The sequence below is a fragment of the Homo sapiens genome, chromosome 20, assembly GCF_000001405.40.
Source record: "Homo sapiens chromosome 20, GRCh38.p14 Primary Assembly".
Taxonomy (NCBI): Eukaryota; Metazoa; Chordata; class Mammalia; order Primates; family Hominidae; genus Homo; species Homo sapiens.
The window spans coordinates 30,720,433-30,742,967 of NC_000020.11; the positions used below are offsets into that span (position 1 = coordinate 30,720,433).

At 42.2% G+C, this 22,535-nt stretch overlaps 2 pseudogenes across 1 annotated transcript in view; one reads left to right on the forward strand and one right to left on the reverse strand.

Annotated features, from left to right (window-relative positions):
* Positions 1–3,484, reverse strand: part of ANKRD20A21P (ankyrin repeat domain 20 family member A21, pseudogene) — a 42,705-nt pseudogene extending 39,221 nt beyond the window's left edge. Inside the window, exon 1 of the transcript XR_002958558.2 lies at positions 3,221–3,484. The product of XR_002958558.2 is annotated as an ankyrin repeat domain 20 family member A21, pseudogene (transcript). The remainder of the gene's footprint in view (positions 1–3,220) is intronic.
* Positions 3,485–5,063: 1,579 nt separating this feature from the next.
* Positions 5,064–9,185, forward strand: SOWAHCP3 (SOWAHC pseudogene 3; annotated as a pseudogene).
* The last annotated feature ends 13,350 nt before the right edge of the window (positions 9,186–22,535 follow it).

Sequence of the window (22,535 nt, forward strand, 5' to 3'; positions counted from 1 at the left end):
CTTCAAAACAAATACTTAATTTTTTTGAAGAAAGCACAATACTTACTAGCTCTTATTGCTCAGTGCCTTAATAAAAACAGTAGCCTATTTGAATAGAAAGAGCTCAGTCTTTGGATTCAGTTCAACTAGGGCTTGAGTCCTACTTTAAACCCTGTCTCTTACCAACTATTGCTTAGCCTTTCTGTGTCTCAACTTCCTCATTAATAAAGATGACAATAGTAGCTATCTCACAGAACCCCACCGTGATGCTTAAATGAGAAGCTATGTATTTAGAATAGTTCCTACAACAACTCAATAGTTGTAAGATTTTTGTTTTTTCAGACAATGTCTCACTTTTTTGCCCAGGCTGGATGTAACTATAGCTCACTGCAGCCTGGAACTCCTGGGCTCAAGCGATCCTCCATCCCCAGCCTCCTGAGTAGCTGGGACTACAGATGTGAATCAGCATGCCCAGCTATTTATTTAAAAATTTTTGTAGAGTAAGAATCTCACTTCGTTGCCCAGGATGGTCTCAAACTCCTGGCATCAAGCAATCCTCTCACCTCAGTCTCCCAAAGTTCTGGGATTACAGGTGTAAGCCACTGCACCCAGCCAGATATTATAATTGTTACTATTACTACTACTTAACAAAAACATTTTAATTAGGTAAAAGACACAATTATACCTACTTTGCAGGATGGCTTAAAGAGTAGGTCACATTTGAACACTTCTGACATTGGAATGTCACTTATATAACTATAATTGGTAGCATTTAAAAAATTATCTTATCTATATATAAAATAGTGGGGCATCTCACAATCCATGAGACCTTACATTAAGTAGAATATGGTGTACTAAACAGGTCTAGGGCAGTTCTAGGCATATAACTGGTACATAAATACATTTTAGTTCTTAAAGGTACTATGGGGATAGAACACTGAAATTATAATAATGCATTTTTTAAACAAATTAATTCTTTGATTTTCAAACAAATTGACAAAGGAAACTCATGATTCAAGTGAATACATATGGCTCATTTTATTCAATATTTATGCTTACAGAATATATGCAAATAAGACCTTCCAATGATTAATATTAGCATTTAAGACTGATAAACTTTTGAATGGCAGTTAAAGGTTATCTTCTACTATTTTCTAACTTCAGAAATGCTTTTGTTTGAAAGTTGGGAGACAAACTTTCAAGGAGATTAAGTCCCAATATTCCTATTTTAAATCTCTCAGCTTGTGCAGGCAGGGCAGGTAAACACGAAGTTTTTAAGGATAGAAGGGTCCTGAGAGATAGCAGAATATGTCTGCTACATAACAGGTACTCAGGTTATGTTTGATGAATAAATGGAATGAAAGAATGGATAAATACAGTTGGGAAGTTCAATATTTTTAAATAACCTCCTATAAAGCAATATTTTTGCAATAGTAATTATTCATATGTTATTTTTATTTTTAAAGAATACAATTAAAATGAAATGATTAATCTATCATTGTTTGCATAAATTGAATGAATACATAAGAAAAACGTATGTACATAATAAAATATATAGATAATAAAATCTGGAAACAGATAAAAACATTCCCTTTTTACTTCTGAAGAGGCTAAAAGTTCAAAGAAGATAACAATACACTCAATAATGATAAAAAATAGAAAGCGAGAAATTATTTTTAATATTGTAAGATTCATATTCCCCTCTTCCCAAGGATTATTCCTTTACTAATAAACTTTACTAGAAGTTTTGTACATGCTCACTGCAGCAATCACAGATAAGAAAAAGGAAAAGAACTTTACTTAAAATACAAATGCTCAGAAATTACAAATTTTATATTTTGTACATATTTTTTGCTAAAACAAGACCATAGTATGTTTGTATGTATAACTTTATTGATTTTTTTCCTCACTAGCTATAACAAAATACATCTTCACACATCAATATACTTCTGTATCTATTGCCACCTTCAATGGTCACACATTATTCTATCCTGTGGATGCAACTGAAATTTATTTATAGGATCCATTCTATGGGTTCTTTTTAAAATAAGTGCTGTGAAAAATAAAGTGCATGTATCTTTATTTCCTAAGGGTGTTTTAGTATAATGGAATTGATGGGTAAAGGGCATACATGTTTTTTAAATGTACTACTTACCACCAAATTATCTATTTGAAAAATAATCAGCAACTTAAACTTTAAGCAGGAGTATAAAACATCCTCACAAATATTGTGGATAGAAAACTGTTTCATTCCTCTTTTAATTTAAATTCTTATACCAGAAATGCGAAGGACTTTTTCCTATGTACACAAGTAACTTGCAGATCTGGAAAAAAGTACTTTGCCCAATTTTAGAGTGTTTGATGATTTGATTTGAAAGAATTTCCTGTCAAATGAAAATGTACTTTTCATCTAATGTGTATATATAACTGATATATATGACATATTATATCTGGTATATACGTATAAGTATCAGTCATATATACATACATATATATATAAAATGATATATAATAAGCAACATAGGCTGGGCGCGGTGGCTCACACCTGTAATCCCAGCACTTTGGGAGGCGGAGGAGGGAAGATCACTTGAGGTCTGGAGTTCGAGACAAGCACGGCCAACGTGGTGAAACCCCCTCTCTACTAAATATACAAAAATTAGCCAGGCACGCTGGCACCTGCCTGTAATCCCAGCTACTTGGGAGGCTGAGGTAGGAGAATTGCTTGAACCCAGCAGGCAGAGGTTGCAGTGAGCCAAGATTGTGCCATTGGACACCAGCCTGGGCAAAGAAGCGAGACTCCGACTCAAAAAAAAAAAAAAAAAAAAAAGAATGTAATGAATTCCCTATAAAATAAAAACATACTTTTCATCTGAAAAAATATATATATAGTATAGTAAATATTTTTCAAGTAAGCTCTCTTATCTGAGAACTTTTCGCCTACTACGGTATTTTTGATAGGGGAATGAGTTCTCTCATTAGGCACCTCCTATAATGTATATAAACCATGTTTTAAACGTGTACGTTAAAAATAACAACACTGTGTATGCTTAACTTTGTGAGTTAAATCACTCAAATTCTCCAACTGCTCCAGCCAGGGAATTATGAGGGATGGAAAACAGCTGAGAGTCCTTTTGGCTCCGCCGCTCCGAGGGTGCCCGGTGCCCTGCAAGGCCCCATCCCAGGGGCTGCGGGGAAGCCGGGCCTGGGGACCCCATCCCATCACGGGCTGAGCCCCCGCTACCTGTGCTGCTTGTCCAGGGCGTCCAGGTCTCCGCTCCTGCGCGCCAGGCAGCGCTCCACCCCCGCGGCGTCGCCCTTGACAGCTGCCCTGTGGATCTTCTGCAGTTCGGAGTCCCGGATTCGGTATCCGGAACCCGTGTAGACATGTTCTATAGAGCCCTGGGCCGTCTGGCCCCTGCGGCTCCCGAAGGCGAATAACTTCATAGTGGTGACTTCTCAGACCCCCAACCTCTGGCTCTTGAGCGGGGGCAGCTCCCTGTCACCTTTTCACCAACCCCCTCCCCCGACCCCGGCCGACCCAGCCCCAAATCCCCTATCCAACCCCAAATCCCTGATCCAACCCCAAATCCGCGATTCAACCCCCAATCCGCGATCCCAAATCTATGATCTACTCCACAATCCGCGATCCAGCCCGGTCCACCACAGCCTTCAGCAGCGACACTCGCAGCCTCCGACCTCTCAGACCGAGTGAGACTTGAAAAGCCGTTGGGCGCGCGCCTGCACGGCGGTTGCTGCCCGGCTCCCGGAAGCCGCTCCCTGGAGGCGCGCGCCGGCAGGTGGGGCTGCAGCTCTGGGCGGGCGCAAATGGGCTCGCAGGTCCTCTTGGGATCGCCCGGGCGGCCCCAGGATCTCAGGAGCGCCGCCAGCCCGGCCTGAGAAGGAGAGCCTGTCTGGCCTTGCAGCCCACCCCGCTCCTCCTCGGAAGGGAGATAGGGTGCTGGCAAGAGCACTCCGCGGCCACCTGGGTGGCTTCGCGGATGGCCCGGCTTCACGCTGAGGCTCTGGCCCTGGAGTCTGTGTGGCTAGTATCAGGTAGCTGGAGAAGCATGGAGGCAGAGTCAGGGGCTGCTCCTTCCCCCACTCGCCCTCACTGCTGCCAGTGCCCCACGCACAGTTTGCAGCTGCAGATCTGGCACTGGCGCTGGATGGCGGAGCTTCCCTTAGATGGCCTCAGGGTCGCAGAGCGCACAGCCCACCTGGGCTCAAGGTCCGCTCCTCTTGTACATCTCTCTGGATCCTGGGCCCTGGCACTGGGCACTCTGTATCCACACGGATGAAACTGAGCGGCTGCTGGCGGGGCCCGTCGCCTGATTTTGCCGCCTGGGGGTCTGGCCTCAGTATCCGCGCTACTGGGGGGCGGGCCTGGTCTGGGGTGTCCAGTCACTTGCTGCCGGTGCACCACATCTAGACTGCAGCTGCAGCTCCGATGCCGGCCTGAGCTGGCGGGCCTGGTACCTGATGTCCTCAGGGTCAAGTGCATCGCCCGCCCACTTGAGGGGTTGCAATGACTTGGCCTTCCAAGAACGCAGGGGCCGCCGGGGCTGGCTCTTCATGGTAACCGGGATGGTATCGAGCAGCAGGTTTTCACCCTGGTGCCGCTGCTGTGCGGACTGCCTGACTTGGGCGCCCAGGCACCGGCCTCAGGATCCGCGTGGCAGGTGTGTGTGCGGGTAGGGTGAGTGGCACGGAGGGTCAGGGGTTGCTCCGTCATCTCTGCCCGTGTGCAACTTGCAGTTTTGCAGTTTTCTGCAGCAGCTGAGGCGCTGGCGTGGGAAGGCGGAGCTCCCCTGGATGGCGTCAGGTCAGGTTTGCAGGCACAGAGCACAGCCCACCAGGCCTGAGGGTCCTCTCAGGGGCCATGGTGGTTGAGTTCTCCGTGGAAACTGGGATGGGGTGAACGGCCAGTTCCCGTCCTTTGGCCGCCTGGCCAACTGCCAGACTTAGCCGCTGCCGCCCAGGCATCTGCCTCTAGGGTTGCCGCTATTTGGATAGAAGTGGGGGTCGGGGTGGGGCATGGAGCGTCACCGGTTGCCAGGCCAGCACTGCCTTTGCAACATATTCAGATGGCGGCGGGCAGCTCGGGCACCAGCATGGGCTGGCGGGGCTCCCCTGGACAGCCCTCAGGTCGCTCACAGCATTGTCCCAGGACTTCCTCCGGCTGTGTCAGGTGGGCAAGGTAGGGGGGAGCTTCCAAGGCTTCTATCCCAACTCTACCTATTTCTAGCTATTTTCTCTTGAGTTATTTTGCCTCTATCTCAGTTTTATTTGCAAAAATAGTATATGCAAAATACATCGAGTGAATGTACATCAGGCATATAGAAGATCTGGCAGAAACACTTTTTCTCATGCCCATTTCCAGTCACTATTTGAACACAGAGGCTTCCATGGTTTTGATTCTTTCCACAAAAGGTTAGTTTTGTCTGTTTTCACCATTTACGTAAGTGAAACTATAAATTATATAATTTTTATGTTCATTCACTAAACATGTTTGTGACACTTATCATGTTGCTCCTATTGATTATTCATTAATTTTATTTTATAATACTCAATTTTATGACTATACCACAGGTTTGAGGCCTTTGCTTGTTTTGTTTTTAATCCATTCCACTATTGATAGACACAAAATCAGTTTCTGATTTGAGGCTATCATGAATAAACCTGCTACGAACAAATCAGATATACACGTTTTTCTGTAATAATATTTTCACATTTCTTGAGTTTAAGTACATAACAGTGGATTTTCTGGGTTATAAAATAAGTATATATTTGGCATTGTATGAAATGGGGAGACATTTTCCTAAGTGGTTGTGCCATCTTAAACTACAATGAAAATGTTTGAGAGAATCAGTTCCACTTTCTAACCAACACTTGATGCTGTCAGTTGTTTTAGTGTTATCCATTCTTATGGGATATAACTGCTGAGTAGCTGTCTGCCTTCCCAATAACACAGAAAATTGAGGGCTCAGAGGACAGTTTTATTTTCATATTTGACATCTTCTATTATTTTTTATAGAAGGGTGATTTGGGTAGTAAAATTGTCTTTCAACTTTCTAGGTTGTCTCTGAATCTTACTGGGGTTCCTTGTCCTAAACCACATTCAGAAATTTTCACGACCAACTTCTTTTTATCTTTGTCATACCAGGCCAATGAGGGACTGCATTCCTGAGACTTTTTAAGTACTTTTTGTGTGTATGATGGTCTAATAATCATAGCCTTAAAACTTTCTGGCTGGGCATGGTGGCTCATGGCTGTAATCCCAGCACTTCGAGAGGCCGAGGCGGGTGGATCACCTGAGGTCGGGAGTTCGAGACCAGCCTGACCAACATGGAGAAACCCCAACTCTACTAAAAATAAAAATAAAAAATAGCTGGGCATGATGGCACATGCCTGTAATCCCAGCTACTTGGGAGGCAGGAGCTACTTGGGCTGAGGCAGGAGAATCGCTTGAACCCACGAAGTGGGGGTTGTAATCAGCCGAGATCACACCATTGCACTCCAGCCTGGGCAACAACAGTGAAATTCCGTCTCAAAAAAAAAAAAAAAAAAAAAAAAGAATCTCAGACTTCTGGGAGACACTGAATTTGTGAATGTGTACAGCATGTCACAATAACTTTTTTTTTTTTTTTGAGACCAAGTCTCACTCTGCTGTCCAAGCTGGAGTGCAGTGGCCCATCTCAGCTCACTGCAACTTCTGTCTCCTAGATACAAGCCACTCTCCTGTCTTGGCCTCCCGAGTAGCTGGGATTACAGGTGCTGCAACCACGCCTGGCTAATTTTTGTATTTTTAGTAGAGACAGAGTTTCACATATTGGCCAGGCTGGTCTCGAACTCTTCACCTCAGATGATCCACCTGCCTCAGCCAATGGGTGGATTGTTAACTCAAAATGCGCACCGTTGAATACTGAGGAAAATGTATAGCCATCAACACCAACAGCTGAGATGAGAGTTGAGATACCAGAAATGCCCCAGCATGTAACTCCTCTTTTAATTCACACACACACACACACACACACACACACACACACACACACACGTACACTCATGGTAACCAGTTCAGGATGGACACAGAAACAGTCACAGTCTTTTTTGGGAACACACTCCCCTGTGACACTTAGATCCTAATGCTGACTCCAATTCCCTCCCGGGACCTCCCCTCTCCTTGCAGCATGCTGGGCTTTCCCTTAGAAAACCCCATGTCATTTCATTCAATGGAACATCAATCAGCTTCACCCACAGTGTCTGCATGTCTCTGTCCATAGCAAATGTTTTTATTACTTTAAAATATAGATTTTTACCTTAACTAGCCAAGACTTAGGACCCTTTTTCCAAGCTCTTTTAGATGAAGTAATAAATGCAAATATTAGAGATGTGTATATGTGTATAAATATATGGAGAAAAGATGTTGCCTAGTTGTACAAATTAGCTTTAACAAAACTCCTGATTTAAATTATTTAATTGTGAGAAGGGCGATTCTAACTCAACACACCAATGAAATTAAAGCCTTATCCCTCTGCTCCGCCAAAATATACCATTTATAGCCTGCGTGTGTGTGTACACACACGTGTGCACTCATCCCCATCTGACCGTATCAAATTATTATTTAAACTAGATATTTTTACTTTGTTGCATAGTAGTAGTGGTTTCTGGAATGAAAAAAAAAAAACAAAAACAGGAGAATAAAACTGTTTAAATGTATCTCCAGGTGAACGCTGTGGCCACTGCACCGACCCAGCCGATGATGGCGCCCAGTACCTGCGTCTCAGGAAGAGGTTCTGGCGGGGCCTCCACCTGAGGCCGCGCCCCTGGGACCTGTCCCGCATCCACGTGAACGCGGAGCGCAGCATTCACCATCCGCTCCCTGAAACAGCGGTCCCCGAGGTGCTCCACAGGCAGGGCCGAGCTGGGCGAGGGGGAGCCCAGGCCCTGCACGGGCCGCCCTGAGCGGCGGGGACGCAAGAAGAGCTCGCCGGCTCCACCAGCCCCTACCCCAGACGCGGGACCTGGGACCAGAGAGGACCTGGAGCCCCCGCCCCACGGCTGCCAGGAGGCTGACAGGGGCAGCTCCTGGGGGGCTACCGCCCCGAGGCCGTTCCGCCAGAAATTGAGCCACTTGGGAAGGGGCAGCGCCCCACCCCTGAAGAGGAACCTGTGTCCTGGAGGCAGCAGCCTGGGAGCTACTCCTCTGAGGACAGGGCGGAGGCGAGTGACTCTGGTGGCGCAGCGCAGGCTTTCCCGTCCGTGGAGGAGGAGAGCTGCGGGGCTGGGTGAGCTGGACCAGGGAGCACGGCTGGCTGCTCTCGGCCTCCGATGGGGAGTGGACAGCTTAGGAGGTTGCCCCCGTGCCAGCCGGTCTGCTGGCCACGCTGAGCTTCATCACCGCCTCACCTGCCTGCGCAGGCGCCTAGCACCGCAGGCTGGAGCTTCTGGCCATGCTGGTCAACTTCCCCAATGAGCCTCCGCTTGCCTGGGAACAGCAAGGCCAGGGCTACACCGCCCTGAACTTGGCAGCCATGTACCTTGGAGATGGTGAAGCTGCTAGTGGGGACCTAGGACGCCGATGTGGACATCAGGGACTACATTGGGAAAAGGGCCTCCCAGTATGTGAGTCAGAGCATCACAGAAGAGATCGAGACCCTGGTGGGAGTCCTGGACAAGGACGACGGGGAGAGCACCGCCAGCAGCGGGGATGGGTACTGGAAGATTTAAAAGGTGCCCCCTCCATTTCATCACCTACAAACTCTCACAAGTCCTGGAAGATCGGGGGACCCTCTTCACCATCACCACTTGGCTGAAGGTGGTTCAGAGGTGAAGCCAAGGATTCCAGGGCACACAGCCTCGGGCAGGACTAATGGACTTAAAAAACACAGGCTCAACAAAATCCACTTCACAACCCAGATGGTTCACATCACACCCTCTTTCAGGGACCCAGAGCAGCCACTGGAAGAGAAGGAGTAGGAACGCTCTCTTAAAGGCCACTTATCCTATTCCTTCAAATTAAGACCAAAGTCCAATGTATTTAGGTAAAAATAATTTCTTTTAGAAAATGCTAAGGTTTGTCTTCTGAAATTTAATAACAGAAACAAAAAAAGAACACTAGATGTAAGGAAGTGGGACCAGAAAAGACAAACTAAACTATCCTTACTAGGTTGGAATGGATGGGGTGGAGTTCCCATCAGGCTAGCATTCTGGGGAAAGTGTTTTTTTTTTTTTTTTTTTTGGTGGGGGGGCACGGAGTCTCGCTCTGTCGCCCAGGCTGGAATGGCCTTTGACATGTCAATGTTTTATTGTAAATCGTGACAGACTATCTACATAGAATACTCATGATTTACAATTTGAGATTGTCAACCCAGCCAGTAACCTATGTAGCACTGAATTCAAATACCAGAAAAAGGACCCAGATTCCCTCACCACCTAGCAGAGCTCAAGTGAGCTACACAGCCTGGTAGGAAATGGGGAGTAATTAAAAGGTTGTAAGCAGGTACTACTATAGTCAGATTAGTTTTTGACAGGTTATTCTAAAAGCACTGAGAAAAGAAAACTGTTGTAGTATTCCAGATAAGATCATATGGTCTGTAAAAGGACAGTGTCAAGGATATAGAAAAGAACAATCAAGGAATTTCAAAGGGTAAACTGGATGTGATTATATAGTACCACATCAAATGAACATCAGGCTCAAAGAAGGCACGGGGGAGCAGGAGGCTGCTTTCCCCAGGTACTCTCTTTCCCAGGCTTGCCCAGTAGTCCTGGCAACTGACATATATATATATATATATATATATATATATATATATATATATATGGAAACCATCATTCTGAGCAAACTATTGCAATGACAAAACCAAACACCACATGTTCTCACTCATAGGTGGAAATTGAACAACGAGAACACTTGGACACAGGATGGGGAACATCACACACCGGGGCCTGTCATGGGGTGGGGGGAGGTGGGAGGGATAGCATTAGGAGATATACCTAATGTAAATGATGAGTTAATGGGTGCAGCACACCAACATGACACAGGTATACATATGTAACAAACCTGCACATTGTACACATGTATGCTAGAACTTAAAGTATAATAAAAATAAAAAATAAAGTCTTCCTCAAGTTTACCATCAAAAAGTGCTACACATGATTTGCAAGTATTTTCTTCCATCTTGTGAGTTGTCTTTTCACTTTCTTGATGGTGTCCTCTGAAGTGCAAAAATGTTTAATTTTGATGAAGTCCAATTCATCAATTTTTATTCTTGTTGCTGGTCTCATATTTAAGAAAACTGCCAAATTCAAGGTCATGACAATTTACTCCTATGTTTGCTTCTCAGGATTTTATAGTTTTAGTCCTTATGTTTATGTGGATTAGCTCAAAATGGGTCCATTTGATCCATTGTTTTTGCATCCACAGTTTTTGTATATGGTGTTGGGTAAAGGTACTATTTCAGGTTTTGCATATGTTTACATATCTAGTAGTCCCTGTGCCAGTTTTCAAACATCTTTCCCCACTGAATAATCTTGGCACCCTTGTCAAAAATCAGTGTTTATGTATGTATGGGTTCATATCTGACTCTCAATTCTATCCCACTCGTCTATACATCTATACTTCTGCCAGTATTATATTGTCCTTATTACCATTGTCTTGTAGTAAGTTTTAAAGTCGGTAAGTATGAGTTCTCCTACTTTGTTTCTCATTTTCAAAAGATTATTTTGGCTATTCTTAGTCCTTTGCAATTCCATATGAATTTGAGAGTCAGCTTGTCGATTTTACAGAGAACTCATCTGGGATTCTGACAGGAATGAAGTTAAATCTGTAGACGAGTTTAGGGAGGACTGCCATCTTAACAATGTTAAGCCTTCGGTCCATGATCATGGGATACTTTTACATTTATTTCGATCTTCTTTCATTTCTTTCAACTATGTTTTATGGTTTTCAGAGTACAAGTTTTACACTTCTTAAATTTATTAGTATTTTATTCTTGTTGATGCTATGATAAATGAAGTTGCTTTCTTAATTTCATTTTCTGATTGCTCATTGTGAGTATGTAGTACTCAGTTAAAGTGTGTCAAATACTATTGATTTTTGTATATTGATCTTGTATCCTGCAACCCTGAAGAACACAAGGGATTTGTGTCTGGCATACATAAGGAACAATTACAATTCAGTAATAAAAAAACAAAACAACCCAATTAGAGATGGATAATTCAAGAATGGATTAAAAAAACTGCAATACATGCAAACAAATGGAATATTATTCAGCAATTTAAAAAGTGAGCTATCAAGCCATGAAAAAACACAGAAGAACCCTAAATGTATACTGCTGGGTGAAAGAAGCCAGTCTGAAAAGGATACATACTACATGATATTATATGACATTCAGGGAGAGGCAAAATTAGAGAGTAAAAAGATCAGTAATGACCGGGGGTTTAGAAGGAAGAGGAGGGGGAGGAATGACTCAGTGGAGCACAGGAGATTTTTAGGGCAATGAAACTGTTCTACATAATGTCCCTGTATGACAGCTTTGAAGAGAGCAGTGGTTCTCTCAGCACGCAGCTGGAGATCTGAGAATGTGCAGACTGCCTCCTCAAGTGGGCCCCTGACCCCTGACCCGTGAGCAGCCTAACTGGGAGGCACCCCCCAGCAGGGGCACACCGACACCTCACATGGCAGGGTATTCCAACAGACCTGCAGCTGAGGGTCCTGTCTGTTAGAAGGAAAATTAACAAACAGAAAGGACATTCACACCAAAAACCCATCTGTACATCACCATCATCAAAGACCAAAAGTAGATAAAACCACAAAGATGGGGAAAAAACAGAACAGAAAAACTGGAAACTCTAAAAGAAGAGCGCCTCTCCTTCTCCAAAGGAATTCAGTTCCTCACCAGCAATGGAACAAAGCTGGATGGAGAATGACTTTGACGAGCTGAGAGAAGAAGGCTTCAGACGATCAAATTACTCTGAGCTAAGGGAGGACATTCAAACCAAAGGCAAAGAAGTTGAAAGGCTTGAGAACTATGTGAAGAATGCAGAAGCCTCAGGAGCCGATGCGATCAACTGGAAAAAAGAGTATCAGCAATGGAAGATGAAATGAATGAAATGAAGCAAGAAGGGAAGTTTAGAGAAAAAAGAATAAAAAGAAATGAGCAAAGCCTCCAAGAAATATGGGACTATGTGAAAAGACCAAATCTACGTCTGATTGGTGTAGATGGGCAAGTGATGGGCAGAATGGAACCAAGTTGGAAAACACGCTGCAGGATATTATCCAGGAGAACTTCCCCAATCTAGCAAGGCAGGCCAACATTCAGATTCAGGAAATACAGAGAACGCCACAAAGATACTCCTCGAGAAGAGCAACTCCAAGACACATAATTGTCAGATTCACCAAAGTTGAAATGAAGGAAAAAGCGTTAAGGGCAGCCAGAGAGAAAGGTCGGGTTACCCTCAAAGGGAAGCCCATCAGACTAACAGCGGATCTCTTGGCAGAAACCCTACAAGCCAGAAGAGAGTGGGGGCCAATATTCAACATTCTTAAAGAAAAGAATTTTCAACCCAGAATTTCATATCCAGCCAAACTAAGCTTCATAAGTGAAGGAGAAATAAAATCCTTTACAGACAAGCAAATGCTGACAGATTTTGTCACCACCAGGCCTGCCCTAAAAGAGCTCCTGAAGGAAGTGCTAAATATGGAAAGCAACAACCAGTACCAGCCGCTGCAAAATCAAGCCAAAATGTAAAGACCATCCAGACTAGGAAGAAACTGCATCAACTAACGAGCAAAATAACAAGCTAACATCATAATGACAGGATTAAATTCACACATAACAATATTAACTTTAAATGTAAATGGACTAAATGCTCCAATTAAAAGACACAGACTGGCAAATTGGATAAAGAGTCAAGACCCATCAGTGTGCTGTATTCAGGAAACCCAACTCACGTGCAGAGACACACATAGGCTCAAAATAAAAGGATGGAGGAAGATCTACCAAGCAAATGGAAAACAAAAAAAGGCAGGGGTTGCAATCCTAGTCTCTGATAAAACAGACTTTAAACTAACAAAGATCAAAAGAGACAAAGAAGGCCATTACATAATGGTAAAGGGATCAATTCAACAAGAAGAGCTAACTATCCTAAATATATATGCACCCAATACAGGAGCACCCAGATTCATAAAGCAAGGCCTGAGTGACCTACAAAGAGACTTAGACTCCCATACATTAATAACGGGAGACTTTAACACCCCACTGTCAATGTTAGACAGATCAACAAGACAGAAAGTCAACAAGGATACCCAGGAATTGAACTCAGCTCTGCACCAAGCAGACCTAATAGACATCTACAGAACTCTCCACCCCAAATCAACAGAATATACATTTTTTTCAGCACCACACCACACCTATTCCAAAACTGACCACATATGGAAGTAAACCTCTCCTCAGCAAATGTAAAAGAACAGAAATTATAACAAACTATCTCTCAGACCACAGTGCAATCAAACTAGAACTCAGGATTAAGAATCTCACTCAAAACCGCTCAACTACATGGAAACTGAACAACCTGCTCTTGAATGACTACTGGGTACATAACGAAATGAATGCAGAAATAAAGATGTTCTTTGAAACCAACGAGAACAAAGACACAAAATACCCGAATCTCTGGGACGCATTCAAAGCAGTGTGTAGAGGGAAATTTATAGCACTAAATGCCCACAAGAGAAAGCAGGAAAGATCCAAAATGGACACCCTGACATCACAATTAAAAGAACTAGAAAAGCAAGAGCAAACACATTCAAAAGCTAGCAGAAGGCAAGAAATAACTAAAATCAGAGCAGAACTGAAGGAAATAGAGACACAAAAAACCCTTCAAAAAATTAATGAATCCAGGAGCTGGTTTTTTGAAAGGATCAACAAAATTGATAGACCACTAGCAAGACTAATAAAGAAAAAAAGAGAGAAGAATCAAATAGATGCAATAAAAAATGATAAAGGGGATATCACCACTGATCCCACAGAAATACAAACTACCATCAGAGAATACTACAAACGCCTCTAGGCAAGTAAACTAGAAAATCTAGAAGAAATGGATAAATTCCTCGACACATACACTCTCCCAAGACTAAACCAGGAAGAAGTTGAATCTCTGAATAGACCAATAACAGGATCTGAAATTGTGGCAATAATCAATAGCTTACCAACCAAAAAGAGTCCAGGACCAGATGGATTCACAGACGAATTCTACCAGAGGTACAAGGAGGAACTGGTACCATTCCTTCTGAAACTATTCCAATCAATAGAAAAAGAGGGAATCCTCCCTAACTCATTTTATGAAGCCAGCATCATTCTGATACCAAAGCCAGGCAGAGACACAACAAAAAAAGAGAATTTTAGACCAATATCCTTGATGAACATTGATGCAAAAATGCTCAATAAAATACTGGCAAAACGAATCCAGCAGCACATCAAAAAGCTTATCCACCATGATCAAGTGGGCTTCATCCCTGGGATGCAAGGCTGGTTCAATATACGCAAATCAATAAATGTAATCCAGCATATAAACAGAGCCAAAGACAAAAACCACATGAGTATCTCAATAGATGCAGAAAAAGCCATTGACAAAATTCAACAATGCTTCATGCTAAAAACTCTCAATAAATTAGGTATTGATGGGACATATTTCAAAATAATAAGAGCTATCTATGACAAACCCACAGCCAATATCATACTGAATGGGCAAAAACTGGAAGCATTCCCTTTGAAAACTGGCACAAGACAGGGATGCCCTCTCTCACCACTCCTATTCAACATGGTGTTGGAAGTTCTGATACAAAATCAATGTACAAAAATCACAAGCATTCTTATACACCAACAACAGACAAACAGAGAGCCAAATCATGAGTGAACTGCCATTCACAATTGCTTCAAAGAGAATAAAATACCTAGGAATCCAACTTACAAGGGATGTGAAGGACCTCTTCAAGGAGAACTACAAACCACTGCTCAATGAAATAAAAGAGGATACAAACAAATGGAAGAACATTCCATGCTCATGGGTAGGAAGAATCAATATCGTGAAAATGGCCATACTGCCCAAGGTAATTTACAGATTCAATGCCATCCCCATCAAGCTACCAATGACTATGAAGAAATTTTAAATATCATCAAGCATGTTGAGAGGTGCTAGCGAGGGCATGGAGCAAGGAATCAAATTCCATAGGTGATTGTTTTCTCTATTTTTGTATAAAAATGTCCTTGCCCCAATTAAAGCCTCCACCAAGTATAAAAAGAAAGCGTTTGGTGATATTAGCAAGCAACAGTTTCCCAAATCTACCTTGCCCACCTCTTTGGCCTAAACTCTGCAGGTAATTTATTCAAAAAAGAGAAGTGTCCTTTGGGTAACAGATGTATCACTTCCTACTCTCTTAAACCAAACTCTGATGCTGCATCTTAGATAAAAGCCCTCAAATCTGGCCTCCTGAAGTCATGCTGTCATTTAACTTGGCTGCAGGCCCCTGATACTCTCCTGCAGGGAGAGAGTCTGCTCTTTGCCCCAGCCTTTACCCCATTCCTACTTTCTTTCACTCAGTCCCCCTCCACTCCCAGCACACCTCTGGCGGTATTTTATTATTAGTAGTAAGCTTTATTTTTATCAAAAAGGGGGTTGGGGGTATTTTTGAGCTTATGTTGCAGAATACTTTATATAACCCTAAAATATACATTCTGTTCATTAGATTTCTAGCTGCCCCAACTACATAAGCTGAGATGCTTGGTAGAAGCAATGGAACAAATTTCTCTAGTTTTACAAATATAACATTTGACTAATTTAGAACAAAAATTAATTATTTTCAAAATATTTAACTTATTTTAGCTTTTTAGAAAAAAAAAACTGTCTGAGTAAAACAGGGTACTTCCTATTTCATTTAAGGAGAAAGCCAAGCTGATAATGCCATCATACTGCCTAGCTTTCTCATGCATATGACACTGATTTGACTTAGAAAGAAAAAAGTTTTAATACTCTCTTCTACTTCCCACTAGCAGGAAATTCCATTCTTGCCTTTCCTTTTCACCATTTCATCTACAATCACCTAGAAAAATGATGTCTGGTGCATATTAGGCCCTTAATAAAGGAATAAAGAAATGTGTGAAAGGAATTTCTTGAATAACTATTTTAAAACTTTTTGAACAAGAAGACTGTTATTAAGAGTGTTCCCGTGAGCAGGCAACAAACAAAGACAAAAGCTATTATTCAGAGATAAAAATGTCCAAAACATGGTTAGGATATAACTCTCTATCAGTGCATGACAGGTATCTATCAAGAAGTCTCAGAAAAAATACCAAGAAACATCACAACCAAATGCATAAATCTTGAATGAAATCTGTCTCTAAACAAACAAATACCAGCTATAAAGATATTCTTGGTAGCACTTTGAGGGGCCAAGGTGAGCAGATTGCCTGAGCTCAGGAGTTCCAGACCACCCTGGGCCCAGTCTTTACTAAAATACAAAAAATTAGCCAGGCATGGTGACAGGTGGGCCTGTCGTCCCAGCTACTCAGGAGGCTGAAGAAGGAGAATCGCTTGAACCCGGGAGGCAGAGGTTGCAGTGAGCCGAGATCGCAACACTGCACTCCAGCCTGGGTGACAAAGTTGAGACTCTGTCTCAAAAAAAAAAAAAAAAAAAAAATTCTCCAGACACTTAGGGAAATTTAAGTATTAACTGCATATTAGGTGGCATTATGGTTTTATTTTTTTCTTTTTTGAGACAGAGTCTTGCTCTGTCTCCCACGCTGGAGTACAGTGGCTCAATCTTGGCACACTGCAAGCTCCACCTTCCAGGTTCACACCATTCTCCTGCCTCAGCCTCCCAAGTAGCTGGGACTACAGGTGCCCACCACCACGCCTGTCTGATTTTTTTATTTTTGTATTTTTAGTGGAGACGGTGTTTCACCGTGCTAGCCAGCATGGTTTCGACCTCCTGACCTTGTGATCCACCCACTTCAGCCTCCCAAAGTGCTGGGATTACAGGTGTGATCCACTGCACCCAGCCAGGTGATATTATGGATTCTTAGGTTTAATAATGGTATTGATGTTATGGAGAAAAATGTCCTTATTCTTAGGAGATAAATGCTTATATATTTAGGAGTGTCACAAAATCTGCACCATACTCTCAAATGATTTGGCAAAAAACTGTGTGTGTGTGTGTGTGTGTGTGTGTAGAAAGAAAAATCAAGCAAATATGGCAAAACATTAATGATTATTCAATCTAGGTGCTCACTATTCTGTTCTGTATGTTAGAATTTTTTTCAAAACAAAAAGCTGGGGAGAAGGAGAAAAAATTCTAAGAGTCAAAGAAACTGTGTAATCCCCATTTTTATCACTTTTTTTGTGACCAAGTGATTTCACTCACCATTTTATTCATCAGTTCCCTATCTACACACTTAGAGCAAATGAGATAACATAGAATGCTTTGCAAAGTAAAAAGCATGATACAGAATACATAATGTCATCGTAACCAACAACCTCTGAAGTTTAATCGCATCCAGACATCTGGCTTCTTTTTCCCTACCTTCTTATGGTTGTAGATTTCACCATTGTAACAGAGCCACATATATGGATATGTCTTCACTTAAATTGTCTGCATTCCAAACAGCAGGTCAACTACCACCAATGGGTGAAATCCAAAGCAGCAGCTGGTGTATCCATTGACATTCTCAAAACAGGATGCATCTGGACCCCTGTGTGCAATCTTCATAGCACACAGACACTAAACAGAAAGGCAGTCATTGCTGCCAAACAGGACCCAAATGCCACACACAGTGCAATGAAGCTATAAGCTCCCTATGGAGAGAAAAGTAGACAAATCAAAAATATTCAATATCCAATCCAAGTCCACGTTAAATCTTGATTCCAGAAACGTGCATAAACCACTTCAAAGACTAAAATTTAAACCATCTTTTCTATAGCGATTTCCCATTTGGTTGGCAGGCATACAGGAGTAGAGAATGATTTAATTTACTTACAAATATTCAGAAAAGATAGTGACCTCTACATTCAACCAGCTACAGCAGCTTAGCACCCAGCCAAAGCCTGCATCTCTCCCACCTTAAGATTTAGTGGTTGGCTAGAGTTAGCAGCATCCAGGCCACATATATCTCTGCATTCTAAGTTTGCTTCCAAGATAAAGATACAAATGCAGGCTGGCTCCAACCTAGCCAGAGATCCCAACCCCACTCTCTGCATCCCAAAATCCCTCAAAGACCCAAGAGACTTTCCAGATTTCTACAGTCTCCTCTCAGGTTCCCTTGACAGTTAAATGTCCACTCTTTACCTCAACTAGCTGCAGGTAGAATATAATGGGTACAACAGAAAATCACTGTAAGTGTAATATGAAGATACACAGCCCTTTTAAGCATTTCATTATATTACATCTAGCTTACTTCTAAGTGATTTATTCAGATGTGACTGAAGAAAGTCTAAAGGGAAAAAAAGCAATTTAATTTGATAAATTAACTTATCAATTATAGCCAAATTATTTGGCTATAAAAAATTAAACATTTTAAGCTGACAGAAGATGCAAACATTTTAAGTTGACAGAAGATATAAAATGTTCACTATCAAAATGTCGCAACTGATAAAAATGTTCTCAAATACTTCTGTCTCAAAGTTGCATTGTTCATTAAGGAAGCAAAATAAGTGGGACATACACAGCAACAACATCCCTCAAAAAACAACTTGGCTCATTCCTATAAGCCAGGCAGCAAATACATCATCCTTACATATGCTAATTACCTTCCAATTTCAAATTCTCAACTGTGAAATAAAGGGCCATTTTATTTGGCTGCTGCCAGTTCAAAATGACTGTTTTTATTAAAACATCTCCAACTTGAAAAATATTTGGTATTTTCTAAAAAACTGCAAATTGCAGCAAATGGCCAGACAATTTGGAATAAACACCCTACAGAAAAAATATATATTCAAGTTTCATAAGTCACTTTGAGCAATCCTTTGAGGATATTTCATTTATATCTAAATGAACCACAAGTTTAGCTGGCTTTTCCGGAAAACCAGAAGCAAATAAAGTATGATTATAATGAAAACCATCTCAAGCAATTTGGAAATGAAGTACCACATGTCCTATGCTGTCCCTTCCATACACTTGACAAAACAGCCTATAACAAATTGTTTACTTTGAGATTTAGCAGGAAAATTCCATGAGATTTAAATGAGATGACTACTAATAAGCCATCTACCTTTGACTCTATTCCAATTAAAAATGGGTTAGGAAAGTGCTTTGAAAATCAAGTGTGTTCATCAGGGAATCATTTACCTAAGTCTTCTTAACACTGCTTAGTGAATATTAAGCCTGATATAGTATATACACTCTAACCACTAAATTGAAGGGGAAAGAGGGAGAACAAAGAGGCATGTAAAGTACACTTACTTTTTCTAGTAGGAAAAAGCCAATTAAAACTATCACCTATTGGTTTTATTGGAATCAGTCTTACAGGAGGTCAAACTTCCTACTCTCGCTACCTATTCTCAATATTTTTCTTATTTCTTCCTAAACTTCTAGAGCCGTGCTGTCCAATAAATATGTGAGCCATATATGTAATTTTAAATGTACTAGTAAACCCCATTAAAAGAAAAGGTGAAATTAATTTTAAATATACTTAACTCAGTATGTCCCAAATAGTAATCATAGTAATAATTTTAACATGCAATCAATATAAAAAATTATCAAGCAGATATTCTACGCTGTTCTTCCCACTCCAATGACAAAATCCAGTATATTTAACAAAACACATCTCAATTAGGACTAGCCAGGATTTCAAGTGCTCAACAGTTACAAGTGGCTAGCGCCTACTGAATTGGACACTGCAGTTTCAGTGCATTGAATTTCTATCCCACTTAGCGCTAATTAAAACTTCACCCTCTCACCTGACAATTATGTTAAGATCTCAGTAAGTAACCAACTACAGGCAGTTTCAAGCCCTACTTTACCGCTAATTACTCTTACAGCAATGCAATGAATCATGATTTAAAATTAAAAAAAAAAAAAACTGCTGTTAAATTATTAGTCAAGTGCCCAGGGCAATGGACAGTAAAGAAATAATGTAGGCCATGGGCCGAGATGACAAAACGGTCCTTTTATTTATTTCAAGCTATAACAATAATCTGAAGCCAGCCCTGTAAAACAGACATCCATTGAAAAGGGCATGCTAGTTCTTTTGCTTTTTTGTGTACTTGGCCTCCTGTGTCCCTAAACAGACCTCTTCTCAGCAGGGTTTGCTCAGCAAGTCACTTGTTGAGTCTTGCGGTCTACAGAGGGGGTGGGGAATGGCAGGGGCTGGCATAGGAATGAGAGGGGAGGAGGCAAGGTGAGGGGGGCAAGGTGAGGAGGGGGGCACTTAAAGGGGAGTTCAAGACCAGCCTGGGCAACATGGTGAGATCACCGCCCCTCACCGCCGCCATCTCTGGTCTCACTCTGGTCTCACACACATGCACAAATTAAATTTAATGTAAAAATTAAAAAATTGTTTTAAAATAAGTGAAATATTTACATGGATTATGTGTACATTCATTTTGTAGAACTATACATCCCATGTAACTGGGAACTCTTTACTCTTCTAACACAACATTTATTTAGCCACAAATAAAAGAAGACCAGTGATGTAGCCTGTACACAAAAAAGTAAGAAAACACTGGTTAGGCTGGGGCAGGGGTGGGGGGAAGAGATCTACAAAATTAAAATTTTATTGGGAAGAATCACTAATTAGAATCAGAACAATTACTGCTAAGTAGTTAAGAACAGAGCACAAGGAACCCAGCGAAGAAGCAGATATGATTCAGAGCAGAGCTCACAGAGCAGATGGTATCTGAGCCAAGACTGATAGAATAACATTAATAAGGGCCTTCACGGCCATTTATTATCACTTAACTGCAATGCATTTTGTATAAGTTATTTCTACTCTTCATATCAACCATGGAAAATAATACTTACTCTTCTCTTTTGAAGTTAAAGAAGTGGTAAGTGGTCTAAGAAGATAAATTAACATACCAACACCAAATAGCTCAAGTTCAGTGACTCAAGAGTGCCCGCGTCTCCCCAAGAGGTTGCTCAGCAGGCAGACGAGGTAGAGAGCCCTTCCAAGAAGTGACAGTGAGATGTGAAAGGTCTCAGTGTGTCTCTGAGAACAACAGAAACCAGTACGTAGACCAAGTGGGAAAAGCCACGGAAGAGGCAGGGATTTCCTCTTAAGAGAGCAAGAATAAACAGAGCAGGGCTGAGGGAAGCGATGGAAAACGGGCAGAATACCATGCATTTAGTGAGAAAAAAACAACTTTTACTTTAGAAAGGGGGAAAGAATGGTGGTGGTCTAGGTAAGCCTAGAAGCAGAGGAAAGGGCAGTGGAGAAAAAATAAACAAAATGTATGAGTCAGGGTTCTCCAGAGGGACAGAACCAACAAGATACACATATATGTATAAGGGAGTTTACGAGAGAGAATTGGTTCACACGGTTAGAAGGCAGTCCCACAATAGGCTGTCTGCCAGGTAGGGAAAGAGAGAAGCTAGTAGTGGCTCAGTCCAAGTCCAAAAGCCTCAAAACCAGGAAAGCCCGCAGTGCTTCAGTATGAGGCCGAGGGCCTGAGAGCCTTGGGGAAGCGGCTGATGCAAGTCCCAGAGTCCAAAGGCATAAGAACCTGGAGTCTCATGTCCAAGGGCAGGAAGAAGGGAAGCAAGTGTCCTGCACGGGAAGAAGAAAAAAAGAGAGCCAGAAGCTTCAGCTAGCAAGGTTATCCCACCTTCCTCTGACTGCTTTGTTCTATACAGTGCAGCGTGTGTACACCACTTTTGTGATATTATTCCTAATATCCATGGTAAGAAAGGGTGATGTTACTCCCAATAGCGCATGGGGGTGTACATTCCCTGTGATATTATTCCTAGTAGGCAGGGGCAGGGAAAGGATGACATTACTCCCAATATTGCAGAGGGTGTACTCCCCGCCTTGTGATATTGTTCCTAATATTTAGGGGATAGTGGGTGATATTACTCCCAATATCACAGGGGGTGTGCACCCCCCGTGGTATTCTTCCTAATATCCGGGGGGGGGGGGGAGAGGTTGATATTACTGTCAATGTCACAGGGGGTGTACATCCTCCCGTGTTATTGTTCCTAATATCTGGGGGGGAGAGGATATTACTGTCAATATCACAGGGGGTGTAGACTCCTTCGGTGATGTTGTTTCTAATATCTGGGGGGGAGACGATGATATCACTGTCAATATCGCAGGGGTGTACACCACCCGTGGTATTGTTCCTAATATTCAGGGGGGAGAGGAAATTACTGTCAATATCACAGTGGGTGTACACCTCTTCTGTGATATTGTTCCTAATATCCGGGGGGGAGAGGTTATTACTGTCAATATCGCAGGGAGTGTAAAACCCTTCTGTGATATTGCTCCTAATATCCGGCGGGGGGGAGAGGATATTACTCTCAATATTGCAGGGGGTGTACACCCCTTCTGTGATATTGTTCCTAATATCCA